The sequence below is a fragment of the Homo sapiens genome, chromosome 9 (assembly GCF_000001405.40).
Source record: "Homo sapiens chromosome 9, GRCh38.p14 Primary Assembly".
Taxonomy (NCBI): Eukaryota; Metazoa; Chordata; class Mammalia; order Primates; family Hominidae; genus Homo; species Homo sapiens.
In genome coordinates, this window is record NC_000009.12 from 85,770,132 (window position 1) to 85,788,748 (window position 18,617).

An 18,617-nucleotide genomic window follows, 5' to 3' on the forward strand; every position below is an offset into this window, starting at 1 on the left:
TGGCATAGCAAGCACTCAAAAAACATTTTCTTAAAATGTAGTACAAGAGTGGTAATATCCATTAGACTCAAATAGTTTAGTAGTATCTGAGTATATGACAAAGTCAAAGTTATACTATTTCATTTAAAATGAGTGATTTCTGTTATATCTAGGAAGAACATGTTCTTTTCCAACTTGAAGAAGGGATTGAAGCTTTGGAAGCTGCAATTGAATACAAGAATGAAAGTATCCAGAATTGCCAGAAGTCACTTAGAGCATCATTCCATAACCTCTCTCGTGGTGAAGCAAATGTCTTGGAAAAACTAGCTTGCCTGAGTCCTGTTGAGATTAGAGCTATTCTTTTCAGATATTTCAATAAGGTTTGTTTTTGAGGGTCAGAATATTTTTCTTATAAAGATGGGTCAAGATGCATACATCCTATATTTATTTTGAATTTTTAAAGAAATTGAAAGGCTTAAAGATTTGATGGTGTAACTACAAATTTGAGCATGATTTCTCTTTATAGAACTAAATGTTGTTATCTAAAAGCTTTGTGATTATCCAAATATGTAGGCCTAACTTTGTGAGGTTCTTAAAGTTGGAGGGCCTTTCAAAAGAAGTCCTTTTTGAAAGTTTTTAAAACCAAAGAATTTAAGTTATATTCCTTGCTCATTATTTCTTGGATGTTTTCTAGATTTGGATGTTCTACCTGGCACTCATGAAAAATCAAGGGCCCTCCAAGTTTTGATTCCCTTTCCTTCATTGCTGCAGGGTAGGGGAATCTGTACTTTCTCATCATGTATGAGTTGAAATGAAGATGAAGTGGTGTATCAGTGGCAAAGATAATAGTAGATTTTATTAACCTGAATGTGCTTAAATCAATTAAAATGTTGTATTTTTTACAGATTAGTCAATTTACTGATCCAGAGATGTTTCATAGCATTGAGAACTATATCCGTCTTTTCTCTAATGTCTTTTCCACTTAAGTTATATATTATGAAGTGTTAAACAATGAGATAACTCTTCTCTGAAAAGTACATTCAATTTATGGGAATATCAGACAATCAATGAAAAATAAAACACTGATATTTTAAAATAAAGTCCTAAGGCCAGGTGCAGTGGCTCATGCCTGTAATCCCAGCACTTTGGGAGGCTGAGTCAAGAGAATCACTTGAGCCCAGAATTTGAGATCCTATCTTTACAAAAAATACCAGAATTAGCCGGGTGTGGTAGCATACACCTGTAGTCCCAGATACTTGGGAGGCTGAGGCAGGAGGATCACATGAGCCCAGCAATTTGAGTTTGTAGTGAGCTATGATCACTACTGCACTTCAGTCTGGGGCAACAGAGCAACAGCCTGTCTCAAAAAATTAAATAAAATTATAATTCTGTGAAATAAGATAAATGAAAATGTTATGCACAGCCTCCTCTTGGATAATCATCATCAGTAGTAAGCTACTGTTATTGTTATTGATGAGAGTGCATCCTATTGCTGCATGTTTGGAGGGTAGAAAGATGGTGGAGTGCTTTGACATAGATAACTTTTTTTTTTTTTTTTTTGAGACAGAGTCTCGCTCTGTGGCCCAGGCTGGAGTGCAGTGGCGTGATCTCGGCTCAGTGCAAGCTCTGCCCCAAGGTTCACGCCATTCTCCTGCCTCAGCCTCCCAAGTAGCTGGGACGACAAGTGCCCGCCACCACGCCTGGCTAATTTTTTTTGTACTTTTTTTTTAGTAGAGACGGGGTTTCACTGTGTTAGACAGAGATGGTCTCGATCACCTGACCTCATGATCCGCCCGCCTCGGCCTCCCAAAGTGCTGGGATTACAGGCGTGAGCCACCGCGCCCAGCCTGATATAGATAACTCTTTATGCTGTTCTTTTTTTTTTTTTTCCCTGAGATGGAGTCTCACTCTGTTGTCCAGACTGGTGTGATCTCGGCTCACTGCAACCTCCGCCCCCTGGGTTCAAGCAATTCTCCTGCCTCAGCCTCCTGAGTAGCTAGGATTACAGGCGTGTGCTGCCATGCCCAGCTCATTTTTGTATTTTTAGTAGAGATGGGGTTTCACCATGTTGGCCAGGCTGGTCTCAAACTCCTGACCTCGTGATCCTCCCGCCTCGGCCTCCCAAAGTGCTGGGATTACAGGTGTGAGCCACCGTGCCTGGCCCTTGTGCTACTCTTAAAGCAAGGCAACCTGGCTAAGGTCAGTGGATTTTCTGATCCTGGGAACCCTTGTATTAATGATTATTTTTCTGGAGAGGTCATTAGATTATTAACAAGTTCTGTGATATAGACATTGTCTGAAGTATTTTTACTTCACATCAGCAGGGAAGAATCCAGTAGACAAAATGCATAACATGGCTGGGTGTGGTGGCTCACGCCTATAATCCCAGTGCTTTAGGACCCAAGGCAGGAGGATCACTTGAGTCCAGGAATTCAAGACCAGCTTGGGCAACATAGTGAGACCCTGTCTCTACGAAAAAATTTTTTAAAAAACTTAGCCAGGCATGATGGCATGTACCTGTGGTCCCAGCTATGTGGGAGGCTGAGGTGGGAGGATCACTTGATCTCAGGAGTTGGAAGCTGCAGTGAACTATGATTGCACCACTGCACTCCAACCTGAGGTGACAGAGTGAGACTCCATCTTAACAATAACAACAACAACAAAACAACCAAACTGTCACTTATTTATAACATCCATTCTGGAGTTAAAACTTGGAATTGTCTAGATGTTTCAAGAATCTTTACCCTCTCACTATCCACTTAGACTAGAGAAATAAAGTTACAGAATTATTAAATGTAAACTGCATAGATTACATTTAAGAAATTATGGAAGGGTGATCATTAGAGCAACAATATATTAAAAATGAAAGTGTCGGCTGGGCACAGTGGCTCACGCCTGTAATCCCAGCACTTTGGGAGGCTGAGGTGGGCAGATCACGAGGTCAGGAGATCGAGACCATCCTAGCTAACACGGTGAAACCCCATCTCTACTAAAAATACAAAAAATTAGCTGGACTTGGTGGCGGGCGCCTGTAGTCCCAGCTACTCGGGAGGCTGAGGCAAGAGAATGGCATGAACCTGGGAGGCGGAGCTTGCAGTGAGCCGAGATTGCACGACTGCACTCCAGCTTGGGTGACAGAGAGAGACTCCTTCTCAAAAAAAAAAAAAAAAAAAAAAGAAAGTGTCATCAATTCAGAATTCCAACAAATTCTTTTTTTTTTTTTTTTTTTTTTTTTTTTTTGCGGCGGAGTTTTGCTCTTGCACCCAGGCTGGAGTGCAATGGGGCGATCTTGGCTCCACTGCAGACTCCGCCTCCCAGGTTCAAGCCATTCGCCTGCTTCAGCCTCCCAAGTAGCTGGGATTACAGGTGTGCACCACCACACCCAGCTAATTTTATATATATTTTTTAGTAGAGACGGGGTTTTACTATGTTGGTCAGGTTGGTCTCGAACTCCTCACCTCAAGTGATCCCCCCACCTCAGACTCCCAAACTGCTAGGACTACAGACGTGAGCCACCGTGCCTGGCCTGAATTCTAACAAATTCAAAAGGCTGTTAGGTTGTTTTGTGAATATGTTACAAAGCATTTGCCTAAGGACCCAATACCTGGCAGGAATCATTTACACTATGGAGATTAAGGAAGTTCATCTTGAAGTAGCCTAAGAAAAGTAGATTATTATATTAGCTTATCTAAGACACACTTAACAGGTCAAAATATGTATTTGTTAGGTGGTGAATTTGCGAGAAGCTGAACGGAAACAACAATTATATAATGAAGAAATGAAAATGAAAGTTCTGGAACGGGATAATATGGTTCGTGAATTAGAATCTGCACTGGACCATCTAAAATTGCAGTGTGACCGGAGACTGACCCTCCAGCAAAAGGAGCACGAACAAAAGATGCAGTTGCTGTTACATCATTTCAAAGGTAACTTCCCCTTTTGACAGTTATGTAAAGTTGATGTGTAGGTGTGGGTACTGAAGGAAGATAGGACAGAATTTGATCACTTAAAAGCTCAACATGTTTAAATAGTTGCTACTTAGACAAGTTTTTGGGCTTTACATGTTTTGGTTGCCGCATTTTGGGACAGTTGACTTTGTTGTAGGGCTATTCATGCTTGGAATGCCATCCCTTCTGCCTGCCTCCAGTATGCACATAAGAACTGCTACAATCCTGTCAGCTTGTTGTTGGTCTAGTTTTTATGTAGAAATGTGGGATTGATTCAGGCTTTTTGGTATACAGTTGAATTTTTTTTTATTTCCCAGGGATATAATACTATCATATTTAAGTTATTTTCCACTCACAAAATTAAAGTGATAGGTTCTGTCATATTCCTAGTTATATTTCTGGTTATAATTGTCAGTTGATTATAAAATTTTATGCATTAAAGTAATATCTTGGGTCAAAATTATACTGCCATTGATGGGCACATACCATTATCAGTGAGCAGTAGTTCACCACCAACTCTGATAGAAAACTCTGAGAGTGATCTGGCCTCATTTTACCTAGGCATATGGCCAGTATACAAACAGCTACTATGGCAGCAAAATCATTGTTAGGTGATACTGTTACTCCTTCAATTCAGGCTGCTTAGTCTTGATTCTCATGAATCCATAGCTGAAAATAGATCAAAAGGGATCTAGAAGAAGCAACCTGAGTAAGCAGAAAATTGGAAAAATCTGTGAATTTGATTGTTGAGGCAATTTGCTTCTAAGTTAATTCTGTCACTGGTTAATTAGCAACCAGTTGCCTAATGACAATTTCCTGGCAAGATCTCACACATCATTACATTCAAACATGCTCTCCTTACCTTAGTTTGGTTCCGAAACTGATATTTTAATATTTTTTTAAGTGACTGGGATTATACCACAAAAGTTCATGCCATAGCCAAATAAGAATATATAAAAACTTGGCCAAACATGGTGGCTCATCCCTGTAATCCCAGCACTTTGGGAGGCTGAGTCAAGAGGATTGCTTGAGCCCAGAAGTTCGAGACCAGCCTGGCCAACATGGCGAAACCCCATCTCTACAAAAGATACAAAAAACTAGCCAAGCGTGGTGGCACGCACCTGTAGTCCCAGCTACTTGGGAGGCTGAGATGGGAGAATCACCTGAGTCCCAGAGGTTGAGCCTGCAGTGGCTGTGGTCACACCACTGCACTCCAGCCTGGGTGACAGAGTTAAGACCCTGTCTCAAAAAAAAAAAAGTAAGAAAGTCATTCATTTCTATAGCTGTACAAATTGTTCATAACAAAGTTGTGGCTGGGTGCAGCGGCTCATGCCTGTAATCCCAGCATTTTGGAAGGTTGTGGTGGGAGGCTTACTTGAAAGCAGCCTGGGCAGCATAGTGGGACCCCATCTGTATTAATCAAGGATCTCTAAAGGGACAGAATAGCATATATATATCATATATATGATATATATATAGATATATAAAATATATAGGATATATAAAATATATAGGATTTATATTATATAAATATATATATATAAATATAAAGGGGAGTTTATTAAGTATTGACTTACATGATCACAAGGTCCCACAATAGGCTGTCTGCAAGCTTGAGGAGCAAGGAAGCCAGTCCAAGTCTCAAAACTAAAGAACTTGGAGTCTGATGTTCGAGGACAGGAAGCATTCAGCATGGGAGAAAGATGTAGGCTGGGAGGCTAGGCCAGTCTCACCTTCTTATGTTTTTCTGCCTGCTTTATATTCATTGGCAGCTTATTAGATGGTGCACCAGATTGAGGTTGGATCTGCCTTCCCCAGCCCACTGACTCAAATGTTAACCTCCTTTGGCAACACCCTCACAGACACACCCAGGATCAATACTTTGCATCCTTCAATCCAGTCAAGTTAACACTCGGTATTTACCGTCACAAGTCCATCCCTTGTCAACTTGAACTCATACACATCTCCTGAGATCATACATAATCTTCAAATAAAGACAATAATAAGGTTATAATTACACCTAACATAATACAACTATCCTTCGTACAACCAGAAATGCACCAATCCCCAACCCAAATGCTATTACATAAAGTTAACAGTACTTAAATGCTGATGTGAAGTCAATAAATCTTATGTCACATGATAAAGGAAAAAGGAAATAAAATGAAGATATTTTCTTAGTACAAGTGTATACATGCACAAACATGTTTTTAACAAAATAAGGAGGAAATATGACAGTTACCGTCCTTGTTTCTGCAGCTGGTCACATGGTCATAGCTGGTATTGATGACCACCTTCTTCTGCTACCCATTCTTTATTCTCTTTGCCTTTAGCAAGCACCTCAGCACGTTGTGGGTTTTTCTCCTAGTGGAGTGACCCAACCCTTCATTCCTGAAGGGTCTGGACCATTTGTAGTCCTGACTGGAATGGGCTGTTGTAGTTTCCAATTGACCTTAATCACAGAGCATGGTAATACTAAGCGACACCCTAATGGATCTCCTGTATTTCTTGCATACTCTTTCTTACCTCTGTTATGGAGTAGTAGACTGATTTCATCTTGATAGTCCAGGTCAGTCACCCCAGCCAATACTGTAACTCCCTTCTTAGCCTGCTGACTTAATGGTAGGTAGAGCCCAAAGTGTCCAGGTGGCAATCTTAACTTTCAGTTTAATGGAATCATTGTTGTGTCTCCTGTTGGCAGTGTTCCTTCCTCTGAAACAAAGACCTCTAGGCCAGCAGAACGTAATGTTGTGGGAACAGGAAGCAAAAATGTTGCTAATGGATCACTAGGGGTGATGATGGGTGGTGCCACTTCCACTTCCACCCCTTGGTCCCTGGACTCGTGAATCCTGACTATGGAAGAAACAGTACCATATACTGGATGCTGATGCAGAGCATACACGGCCTTCTGGAGAACTTTGTCCCAGTCCTGCAAAGTATTGTCATGTAATTGGTGTTGTAATTGTGACTTCAAAAGGCCATTCCACCGTTCTATCAGTCTAGCTGCTTCAGGATGATGGGGACCTTCATCCTGCGAATGACCAGTGAATCCCATGAGCATGAGCCCACTGCCACACTTCTTTAGCCATAAAGTGAGTAACTTGGTCAGAGGCAATGCTGTGTGGAATACCATGACAGTGAATAAGGCATTCTGTGAGTCCATGGATGGTAATCTTGGCAGAAGCATTGCGTGCAGGATAGGCAAACCCACATCCGGAGTAAGTGTCTGTTCCAGTGAGGACAAACCTCTGCCCTTTCTGTGATGGAAGAGGTCCAATATAATCAACCTGCCACCAGGTAGCTCGCCGATCACCCTGAGGAATGGTGCCATATTGAGGGCTCAGTGTTGGTCTCTGCTGCTGGCAAATTGGGCACTCAGCAGTGGCCGTAGCCAGGTCAGCCTTGGTGAGTGGAAGTCCATGTTGCTGAGCCCACATCCCTGCCACCATGGCCACTTTGTTCATGGGCCCATTGGGCAATGACAGGGGTGGCTGGGGAAAGAGGCTGAGTGGTATCCACAGAATGGGTTATCATATCCACTTGATTATTAAAATCCTCCTCTGCTGAGGTCATCCGTTGGTGAGCACTCACTTGGGATACAAATATCTTCACAGTTTTTGACTACTCAGAGAGGTCCATCCACATACCTCTTCCCCAAAATTCTTTTGTCACCAGTCTTCCAATCATGCTTCTTCCAAGTCCCTGACCATCCAGCCAAACCACTGGCTACAGCCCATGAATTGGTATATAACCGCATATCTGGCCATTTCTCCTTCCATGCAAAGTGCACAACCAGGTGCACTGTTCGAAGTTCTGCCCACTGGGAAGATTTCCCTTCACTGGTATCCTTCAGGGATGTCCTAGAAAGGGGCTGTAGTGCCGCAGCTGTCCACTTTCAGGTGGTGCCTGCATATCGTGGAGAACCGTCTGTGAACCAGGCCCTAGTCTTCTCTTCCCCTGTCAACTGATCATAGGGAACTCCCCATGAGGCCATCGGTGCAGGCTGGAGGAGAGAAGGCAGGGTGGCGAGTGGAGACCATGGGCATTTGTGCCACTTTCTCATGTAACTTATACCTTCAGGACCTGCTTGAGCCTGATCACATATATAGCATTTCCATTTGATGATGGAATGCTGCTGTGCACGACCCACTTTATGGCTAGATAGGTCAGAAAGCACCCAGTTCATGATAGGCAGTTCAGGTCGCATGGTGACTTGATGACCCATAGTCAAACGTTCAGTTTCCACCAAAGCCCAGTAACAGGCCAAGAGCTGTCTCTCAAAAGGAGAGTAGTTATCTGCAGAAGATGGCGGGGCCTTGCTCCAAAATCCTAGAGGCCTCCACTGTGATTCACCTATGGGGGTCTGCGAGAGGCTCCAAACAGCATCCCTATCTGCCACTGACACCTCAAGCACCATTGGATCTGCTGGGTCATATGGCCCAAGTGGCAGAGCAGCTTGCACAGCAGCCTGGACCTATTGCAGAGCCTTCTCCTGTTGTGGACCCCATTCAAAACTGGCAGCCTTTCAGGTCACTCAATAAATGGGCCAGAGTAACACACCCAAATGAGGAATGTGCTGCCTTCAAAATCCAGATAGGCCCACTAGGCATTGTGCCTCTTTCTTGGTTGTAGGAAGGGCCGAATGCAGCAACTTATCCTTCACCTTAGAAGGAATATCTCGACAGGCCCCACACCACTGGACCCCTAGAAATTTTACTGAGGTAGAAGAGTTCATCATTTTCTTTCATCAGTTTGTCCACTGAACTGAGGAGCAACCAACCAGCTTCATTATGTTCCTTGGTTCTCCACATATGGTCAAATTTATTACATAGAGTCACTAAACTCCTTGCCTCTCACGAGCAGTGAATCAGGAGTGTCAAATGCATTTATTTTGCATAATTCTGTAAACAGTTCATGCCAAGGACTATCAGTGTTCTCCATACTATTAGGAGTAGAGTCCTTAGCATTTTTGGGTCTAATCAGATTAAGCAGCCAACTCCAGAAACCCCAAAACCAACAAAAGAACTCCATCCTTAATATTCTGTTCCTTTAGAACCACTCCTGGTACCAAAACCTGTATTAGTCAGGGTTCTCTAGAGGGACAGAACTAATAGGAGATATATAGATATAGATATAGATATAGATATAGATATAGATATAGATATAGATATAGATATAGATATAGATATCTATATAAATATAAATATATATAGCTATCTATATAAATATCTATATCTCTATATATATAAAGGGGAGTTTATTATTAACTTACACAATCACAAGTTCCCACAGTAGGCTGTCTACAAGCTTGAGGCACAAGGAGAGCCAGTCTGAGTCTCGAAACTGAAGAGCTTAGAGTCTGATGTTTGAGGACAGGAAGCATCCAGCATGGGAGAAAGATGTAGGCTGGGAGGCTAGGTCAGTCTCGCCTTTTTCTGCCTGCTTTATATTCACTGGCAGCTGATGAGATGGTTCTCACCAGATTAAGGGTGGGTGTGCCTTCCCCAGCCCACTGACTCAAATGTTAACCTCCTTTGGCAACACTCTCACAGACACACTCAATACTTGGCATCAATACTTGGCATCTTTCAGTCCAATCAAGTTGACACTCAATAGTAACCATCACACCATCTCTACCAAAAATTTAAAAAATTAAGCCGGGCATGGTGGCATGTGCCTGTGGTCCCAGCTACCCTGGAGGCTGAGGTGGGAAGATTATTTGAACCCAGGAGGTTGAAGCTGTAATGAGCCATGATTGCACCACTACACACTCTACCCTGGGCAACAGGGTGAGATGCTGTCTCGAAAATAATAGTAATAGAAAATAAAATAAAAACAAAGTTATAACTGACAATGCTAACAATTCATGCATTTTCTAATTTCAACTGAATATCAGACATAAAATTAAGTTGATTTATATGACATACTTTATGGGGATTCTGATTTATGATCTCATTAATTTTAAGTATTTTTTAAAACAAGATGATGGACTAATTTAAAATATACAAATATACTTAAACAAAATTCTACAAAACAGCCAATTGTAGCCAAAGAAAATCACAAACCAGTAGGATCATTTTATAAATATGCCAGTAGGGGAGAGTAGGTCTGAAATTATGTTTTTTCTGAAGGTTAGTAAACTGGATTTCACTGGTTCAAGAGCATAACCCAATGGAGACAATGTTAGACATTCATAAATATTAATGAAAATATTAATAAAGTTTCTAAACTTTATTACCTGTAAACTTAAAGTTTAGAAACTTTAAGTTATATTGTGGCATAAACTAGAACTTTATGCTGGATTATATTCCCTCTTCTTTTTCTGTGGTGTTTTCCTTTGTGATTTAGTCTTTATGGCCTCTTTTAACAGGTTTTGGTTTTTGTGGGGGTTTTGGCTGTATATTTCTTGGGCCTATAAATCCTAGTCATGTGACTTTTTATATAACCACAGTTCCTGATATAAACTTTACAGAAGATACTAAAGCAGCCAATGAACAGAGTTCCAAACTTGAACTTTTTATAGAAAACACCTTACTTCTGGTGTTCTAAGGATAGGTCTAGTTGGTAGCTACTGCAAAAAAAATCTTATGAAAGTGTGAGGGTTGGTAGGGGGTAGGATGGAGGTGACTAAGGGCTCAATCCTACTTTGGGAAATTTTACAGGCAGAAAAATCCAAATTGTAGCTGAAAACAAACCCATTCAGGTAACAGATATGTGTAACATGCTTCTTATCCTTTAAATATATAGTCCAGGGCCTATGTTAAAACATAATTTTGCAGCCGGGCACGGTGGCTCATGTCTGTAATCCCAGCACTTTGGGAAGCCAAGGCGGGCAGTTCACGAGGTCAGGAGATCGAGACCATCCTGGCTAACATGATGAAACCTCGTCTCTACTAAAAATACAAAAAAATTAGCCGGGCGTGGTGCTGGGCACCTGTAGTCCCAGCTACTTGGGAGGCGGAGGCAGGAGAATGGTGTGAACCTGGGTGGCGGAGCTTACAGTGAGCCGAGCATATCACGCCACTGCACTCTAGCCTGGGCGACAGTGCAAGACTCCGTTTCAAAAAGACAAAGAAACAAACAAAAACATAATTTTGCATCATTTATTTAAAACTGATTTTAAATGCAAATTTTTGTTGTATAGAACAAGATGGAGAAGGCATTATGGAAACTTTCAAAACATATGAAGATAAAATCCAGCAGTTGGAAAAAGATCTTTATTTCTATAAGAAAACCAGCCGGGATCATAAGAAGAAACTTAAGGAACTGGTAGGGGAAGCAATTCGGCGGCAACTAGCATCATCAGAGTGTAAGACTTTTAGTGTTGTCACTCTTAACACTGTTTCTCTAGCATTTGGTGAAGTCATGCCAGCTTTGTAGTGTAGCCTTTACCAATTGATTGGGTTATTTAGGATTAGATACTTCTATTTGTCTCTGTAAACAAAAATCGTTGTCTAAGGTAGAACCACATGAGAAGTGAATGAACAAATTTATAGATGCAAAGGAAATGATCAATTATTGATTGTCTGCCATGTGCCAGGGGCTTGTAGACCTTAACTCATTTAATCCCTAAATTAACTATATAATCTAACATAGCTGTTGTTTTCCTATTTTATAGTAAATTAAGCCTTCTGATTATCACAAAAAAAGATGTATGGTAGGTAAGAATAAAAGTATGTATTTTTAAGATAAATCAGGTCTTTTTATATATCATGACCCCTGGAAATTAAAAAATGTAATAGAACCCATTTTTGAGACAAAGATGTTTCCTTGTATAATCATATGTAGATATGTAGATTTAGTGCATTCCTAAATGAAATAACATGACAAAATATACTTTGCAAAAGTAAAAAATACTATGAAGGTAATATATTGCGATGATTAAAATATACCCTCTTTAAGATAGCTGAATAGAGAGGAATCAATATTTCTAAAATAATAAAGTCTACATTTTATAAAAGAATTAGCTAATACTTTCTAATAATTCTAATAACTTTGATAATTTAGGTATGGTTTATGAAAAGTTGACTTTAAAATCTTTTAGGCACACATGTATTTTTTACCTGGAAAGAAAACTACTTAAATATGGGCACACAAGATGTAAGAAGACCAGTGAAAAATAATATGGAGGAGCAATGAAGTGATATATGCTGAAAATGTAATAGAAGTAGAATTGGCTAGGTGCGGTGGCTCATGCCTGTAATCCCAGCACTTTGGGAGGCCAAGGCGGGTGGATCACCGGAGGGTAGGAGTTCGAGACCAACCTGACCAACATGGTGAAACCCCGTCTCTATTAAAAAATACAAAATTAGCCAGGTGTGGTGGTGCATGCCTGTAATCCCAGCTACTCAGGAGGCTGAGGCAGGAGAATCGCTTGAACCCGGGAGGCAGAGGTTGCAGTGAGCTGAGATCACGACATTGCACCCCGACCTGGGCCACAAGAGCGAAACTCTGTCTCAAAAAAAAAATGCTAAGTTATATTTGTGACATTTATCATGTATAGACATTTTCAAGAATAATTCCCTTTAGCCCTCAAACTCAGGATAGGCTGGGGTCTGCTAACTCCATTTTCAGATGAGGCAACTGACACTTAGAGAAGGCAAGTGACTTAAGGACAGAACAGTAACTATAACACAGTCTAATGTCCCTCATATTCTGACTGCTGGTTCAGTATTCCAAGATAAAAGTTGCCTGAGGATAAAGACGTGATACAAACATACGAATCCTGCCAAAGAGATTACATTTTCTGATTCTCAGTTTAGTAATACAGAGGTGTTTACTGATGTAACTCATTTACTTGAAATACTGCCTGCTATATATAGCTAAAACTTTAACTTGAAACATTACTTGCCAAAAATTAAAAAGTAAACAAGTATCAAGTAAGAAACAAAATAGTCAACATAAGACCACTTTAGCTTTGAAAAAAAGTCTACTGTCAAATTTGAGGTATCTGATATTAGACATCTAGTTTGTAAATGGCCCATGTTTATGCCACCGAGTCTACTAGACATTTCTTTAAAATGACAATGTAGTATGGTGGTATACAGGTTTAAGAACTCTGGATCTTCATCCTGGCTCTTTAACCAAACACACACACAAATCTAAAACATAGTTAATCTTGGAGAGGTGTAAAATGAGAACAACACTGTTCTGACCAATTTACCCAAGGAGTCTAGTCTTGATAATAACGTTGGAGATACTATTTCAGCTAATTTGCTATTCTACCTAGAAACATTTAAAATACTTCTATTTTTGACTATAAAAATAATGTATAGTCATTATAGAAAAATCTGAAAATGAAGAAAACAAATCAGTTATAATCCTACCCACATTTGAGCATAATTCTTTTCATATTTTCCCCATGCTTTAAAATATACAGTTGCAATTATATTGGGGATATAGCTTACACTATATCCTGTCTCATAATGCTACTCTAATATAATGACATGAAACAAGGTTTGTTTGAATTATAAAATATAGCAATTTACATCAAACTCTGAGTTCCATAAAATGTTTTACATGCTTAATAATCAGTATCCTAGTTAATAACTTAGTATTTGGTGCATTGTTTTTTTTTTGTTTGTTTTTTGTTTTTGAATGGAGTTTCACTCTTGTTACCCAGGCTGGAGTGCAGTGGTGCTATCTCAGCTCACTGCAGCCTCTACCTCCAAGGTTCAAACAATTCTCCTGCCTCAGCCTCCTCAGTAGCTGGGATTACAGGTGCCGCCACCAGGCCCAGCTAATTTTTTGTATTTTTAGTAGAGACCATGTCGGCCAGGCTGGTCTCAAACTCCTGACCTCAGGTGATCCACCAGCCTTGGCCTCCCAAAGTGCTGGAATTACAGGCATGAGCCACCGTGCCCAGCGGTTCAGTGGGTTTTGATAGAAGACTGCCTACAAGACTTATATTTTCTTTGAATATTTTTGGCATTCTCCAATTGCAGAAAAATTCATCTTTTGACTAAAATATCTTGGTCACTTGATGGTCATCCCTCTGTTACAGTGTATATGTTTTCTAACATGAGGATAAAATCAGTTTTATATGAACCTGCATTCTACTTGTATTTAAACCTATCCTTGTATCAATTTAAATCACTATAAAACTATATGTAAGGATAATAGAGTCAAAAGATCTGGGTTGGAATCCTTACTTCTTTTACTAGTTGTTTGACCTTGGGCAAATTAATCTTTCCCTAGTCGGTTCCCTCAATTATAAAATTCTGGAAGAGGGAAACTTTCTTGTGAAGAATCCAAGTGGGCTCCGGAGTGAGCCTCAGCAATGAGCCTCTTTTCTTATGATCTTTTGAAAATAAGATGCCTTACTCCTTCCCCCAGATACTGTCACCTGGGGAGCAGGATTTTTTTTTAGAGTTGGGGTCTTGCTCTGTTGCCCAGGCTGGAGTGTAGTGGTACATTCATGGCTCACTGCAGCCTCAAACTCCTGGGCTTGAGCAATCCTCCCACCTCAGCCTCTCAAGTAGCTGGGGCTACAGGCATAAACCACTGCACCCAGCTAGGGAGCAGGATTTTTTAAAGCTTCCCAGTGACTCTGATGTACTGCAGAGTTTGGGAGCCACTGTCTGTGGTCAACTTAGTATGAGTTCCATGTACGAGGATCTAGATCATTTGCTAGTTCAGGTTATTTGATTTTGAGAGAATTTTAAAAACTAGAGAGTCAGTTATGTTTTAAACCAGGGGTTACAAACTAGAACCCCTACCTGAACCAGAGTGAGCCGTGGGGACTGCAGCAGTCATCTAAATGGTCAGTGGCAACGGTGTTCCAGCTGCTGTTGCAATTCAGAAACTGTTAACTCTTATAGTTTTTCTAGAAAAGCTGTAAATCTATATTTTTATATGAAACTTTTCAAATTTTAAATCTTGGGTCAAGTATTACTAACATTATAGGCCAAGCAAACCATGTCTATGGGCCAGATTTGGCTTGAGAGCTGCCAATGTGCAACCTGTGTTTTAAAACTTTGTCTTGGCAGGACTGGGCCAGGTGCGGTGGCTCATGCCTGTAATCCCAGCACTTTGGGAGGCCAAGGCAGGCGGATCACCTGAGGTCAGGAGATCGAGACCATCCTGGCTAACACGGTGAAACCCCATCTCTACTAAAAATACAAAAAATTAGCCGGGCGTGGTGGCGGGCGCCTGTAGTCCCAGCTACTCCGGAGGCTGAGGCAGGAGAATGGTGTGAACCCAGGAGGCAGAGCTTGCAGTAAGCCGAGATCACACCACTGCACTCCAACCTGGGCGACAGAGCGAGACTCCGTCTCAAAAAAAAACAAACAAAAAACTTTTGTCTTTGCAGGACTAAAAGTATACTAAGCATGCATCAATATGTTGAAGTTAGCATTTTTCATCATATTAGGTCTAGTACCTGTATGCATTTCTCTTAAGCAAGTTTTTGTCTTTGCTATTAGACATTCTTTGATTTAAGAACCTCTAGCTTTGATCTCTTCACTCTAATTCCAGTGGGGTGTCCCCACCAAGGGCATATTCTCTCATCTCCATTTCGATGACAGAAATTGTGGCGCACACCCCAGAGTACATTCAGACAGCAGAACCCTGCTATCATGCTGGGAGTGCCAACCAAGGCCAGATTCCCACACATATAATGCCAAGTCCCAGAGTTTTCCCTCGAGATATGGGGCAGAGCCAATATTATCCAGTGCTGGCATCACTTGGCCATGATTTAGAATTCACTAGTAGCAAGAACAGCAGAGAAGGCAGGCATGGAAAGGCACCAGAGGTGCCCAAAGCACTCTTATGTTTCCAGGGAGTACCAAACCCCCAAAAGACTATTTCTCAATTTGTTCCATGAATTAAAGTTGTGAGTTATTCACATGCAAGATGCCTGTAAGTGAAATAAAAATATTCATATTCACACATCTGTTCATCTAAAATAAGTCATTTAACAAAAAAGTTGAACAACATTATGCATATTGGGTGATAATAATGTATTTATGTTAAGATGTTTTGATTAAAACACCTAATTTTGAGGAAATAATATCTAATTTTTTGGTTTGGGGATTATTTTTAGATCATAAGGCTGGAGATGGAGTCCTGAAGCCAGAAGGAGGCATGCTTTCAGAAGAATTAAAATGGGCATCCAGACCTGAAAGTATGAAATTAAGTGGAAGAGAAAGAGAAATGGACAGTTCAGCAAGCAGCTTAAGAACACAGCCAAATCCTCAAAAGCTCTGGGAAGATATCCCAGAATTACCTCCAATTCATAGTTCTTTAGCACCCCCCAGTGGGCATATGTTAGGTAATGAGAATAAAACAGAAACAGATGATAATCAGTTTACAAAATCTCAGTCGACTGTCATCCCAAATTCAGGTTGTGGGAAATGTGGGACGACTTCATGGTGTCACACCTGTAAAACTGTGTCGAAAAGAATTACGTCAAATTTCCGCCTTGGAACTATCATTGCGACGTTCCAGTCTTGGAGTTGGCATTGGATCAATGGCTGCTGATTCCATCGAAGTATCTAGAAAACCAAGGGACTTAAAAACTTAGACATTGAATAATAGAACTTTTAGTAGATATGTAAAAAGATTCCTTTTTCTAACCTGTTAAAAACTAAAGCTCAAGTTCACTACCTCTTTCCTCAGCATAAAGGAAGAAGGGGAGGAAGGAATCCCTAATTCTTTTATATGCTATAGATGTGTACATCTTCTATATATATTCGGGGAGTTTTAGTTTATATTCCCATAGTAATCAAACATGTTTTCCAATACTTGATAACATTTAAATATTTACATTTATAAATACGCTTAAATGTTTTTCCAGGCATATTTGAAGAATAAAACTAGTAATAGACTAAAATATCTATCAAGTATGTATTACTATATAATATAAATGTACATTATAAAAGTATGTTACAATATAACTATATTATTGTTATTCTCAAATACAAGTATATTGTTATTTTTTAAAAGATCCAGCTAAATCTTGCTTTTGTCAGAGGGAGTCACCTGCTGCATATGTGGGCTAAGACAACCTCTCAGCTTTATGGATTGAGGCTCATTTACAGTCCTCAGAGCTCACAGAAATGGTCAGTCTTGACTTTTTAAACATGCTCACTGTTCTGTTTCTGGAAATTTTTTGGATTTTTAAAAATTTATAATGCTATCTTTTTTGTTTGCTAATATTATGCAATATAAGTTTTCATGTCTTTCCTGCTCTATACACTCAATATATCTCTCATTATGTTACTAAAACTGGGAGAAATGAATGCTGTTCCATGGAACACGGAAATTATAGAATAAAACTAAAGCATTCTAACATTTCAAGAGAAAGAACACTGGTTATGACATCTCTGGTCACATGGAGTATGTCTGTAAAGCTTGAAGTCTTGCTAAAGCATCTTTAATGATTTGATAGGCTTCAAGTCTGATATTTTTTTCTATAACCTCCTTAGTCAGGCTTTGCACACTGGCCAAACTACACTGGGGCTGTAAATATGTCAATGAAATTTTTACTAAAATCTCCAAGTTTTTCTGGTCAAAATTTTACTATATAATGTACAATTTAGTTTGGAATTAAGAACTAAACAGTTTGCACACCAAATGTAGTTTGTACTTTTTAACCATATTTTTCAGTTATAGGAAACATCCATTGTAATGACCTGAGGAATTATTTTGTTATTTAGGTTGTTCTTTGTTACTTTTCCAAAACACTTGTAAACCGAAGTTGAGTTTCTTAAACTAATTAATGTTTGGTTGGGGGCTGTAGCAAAACCATCCTGACATGGATGCTTACTCAGAGTCACCCACTTCCTTGCGGAATCCATTTTTTCTGATGTAGTGCTGCTACAGACCTTTTCCTTTTGTCCTTTCCTCTGTTGCTGTGGATTTGATCATCTCACATAGGACCCAAACTGTCACCCTGTGCTCAAAGACTCAAGGCTTCCTTTCTCTCATTGCTAGCCCCTAGGGAGTAGAGTTTCTTGGTCTCCTTGCTAAAAACCAGTTCCTTTAAGAAACAAACCAAAACAAAACAAACTTATAAAAAGGAAAATAGTTTATCTCTTAAGCATGGTACTAAAATTTATTTAAATTAAATAGACTTCTGTGGACTTACCTGGGAATGAAACAATTTATAAATATTGGTCCAATGAGATACTATTTTCTAAATTTCAAAAAACGAATTTACAAACTAACTGGGAAATTTTATTTTTACCAGAGACTGTTTGAAGTCAGATTCTGGTTTCCAGCTAGTCTTCCACTTTTATAAATTTATGTATATTTATATATAAATATAAATCATAGAAACCAAAGGTAAAACATACACATTATAAATATGTATAAATGCACTGACCTTTTGCCATTATTATATATATTTCATATATATATATATACACTTGTACCTATACAAGTATATAAGGAAATGTGTTTGTATATCCATAGGTAAAACAAGTATGTGTAAATTAATTATTTCTAATTAAGGCATAGCACATGATCTTACAAGGAACTTATAATGAGGACCTTTGTTAATAAATACATATTTATTTAAATATATTATTGCTATGCTTTGTTGAAGGCACTGACCTTTTACCATTATAATATATACACTTGTATATAAACACTTGTATATATATAGTATTATATACTTGTATATAGATATAGATATAGGGTATACATTATACATTATTTCACTTTATATTATTTAATATGATTTTATAT

The 18,617-nt window shown here is 39.5% G+C and overlaps 1 protein-coding gene and 1 pseudogene across 9 annotated transcripts in view; one reads left to right on the top strand and one right to left on the bottom strand.

Annotated features, from left to right (window-relative positions):
* The window catches only part of LOC100419824 (kinesin family member 27 pseudogene), a 33,566-nt pseudogene extending 16,822 nt beyond the window's left edge, over positions 1-16,744 (top strand).
* AGTPBP1 (ATP/GTP binding carboxypeptidase 1) overlaps positions 1-18,617 on the bottom strand; it is a 258,945-nt gene that overhangs the window by 223,593 nt on the left and 16,735 nt on the right. For 5 of the 9 annotated variants that reach the window (XM_047423094.1, XM_047423090.1, XM_047423089.1 and 2 more), the window contains one exon: positions 17,753-17,907. The exons of the other annotated variants lie outside the window; for them this stretch is intronic. The gene's annotated coding sequence lies outside the window, so the exon portion shown is untranslated. The remainder of the gene's footprint in view (positions 1-17,752; positions 17,908-18,617) is intronic. 9 annotated transcript variants of the gene reach the window in all.